Genomic DNA, 602 nt, shown 5'->3' with positions numbered 1-602 from the left:
ACTTATCCTATCCAATGTAGGGCAAGCTTATATCCCTCTTCTACCACAGCTGCTGGTGCTTTCTTGAAAGCAGCACCTCCTGACTGGAGGCCAACCATCTCAAGCCATTACAGCAACTCATAACAGAACAACCCTGCTCCAAAGAAGAAGAAAAAAACAGCTAATTCCACTGCCTGCATTACCCTGGCTAACCAGAGGTCCTGAGTTTGTCCAGCATTTGAGAAAACCAGAGCACTAAACACAACTACAACCAAGGACTCCTACAGAGTCCACTTCACTCCCCTGCCACCTCCACCAGAGCAGGTGCTGGTATCCATGGCTGGGAGAACTGAAGACAGATCACATCGAAGACTCTCTGCAGACATTCCCCAGCACTAGCCCAGAGCCTGGTAGCCCCAGTGGGTGGCTAGAACCAGAAGGACAGTAATAATCACTGCAGTCTGGTTCTCAGGAAGCCCCATACCTCGGGGAAAGGGGAAAGCACCACGTCAAGGGATCACCCCATGTGACAAAATAATCTGAACAGCAGCCCTTAAGTTTCAGATCTTTTCACTGAATCACCCTACCCAAATGAGAAGGAACCAGAAAAAGTAATTCTGGTA

General features: G+C 48.8%; 1 annotated feature.

Moving 5' to 3' along the window:
- Nucleotides 273-322: an enhancer, noted in NCBI's record as "active region_26574". NCBI's record gives its function as "activates an Ori minimal core promoter by ATAC-STARR-seq in GM12878 lymphoblastoid cells {active_cell/tissue: GM12878}" and the evidence as "EXISTENCE:reporter gene assay evidence [ECO:0000049][PMID:35858748]".

This window comes from Homo sapiens, chromosome 7, assembly GCF_000001405.40.
Source record: "Homo sapiens chromosome 7, GRCh38.p14 Primary Assembly".
NCBI classification, from domain to species: Eukaryota; Metazoa; Chordata; class Mammalia; order Primates; family Hominidae; genus Homo; species Homo sapiens.
Note: the sequence above shows the minus strand (reverse complement) of the source record. Positions and strands in the feature narration are given on the sequence as shown.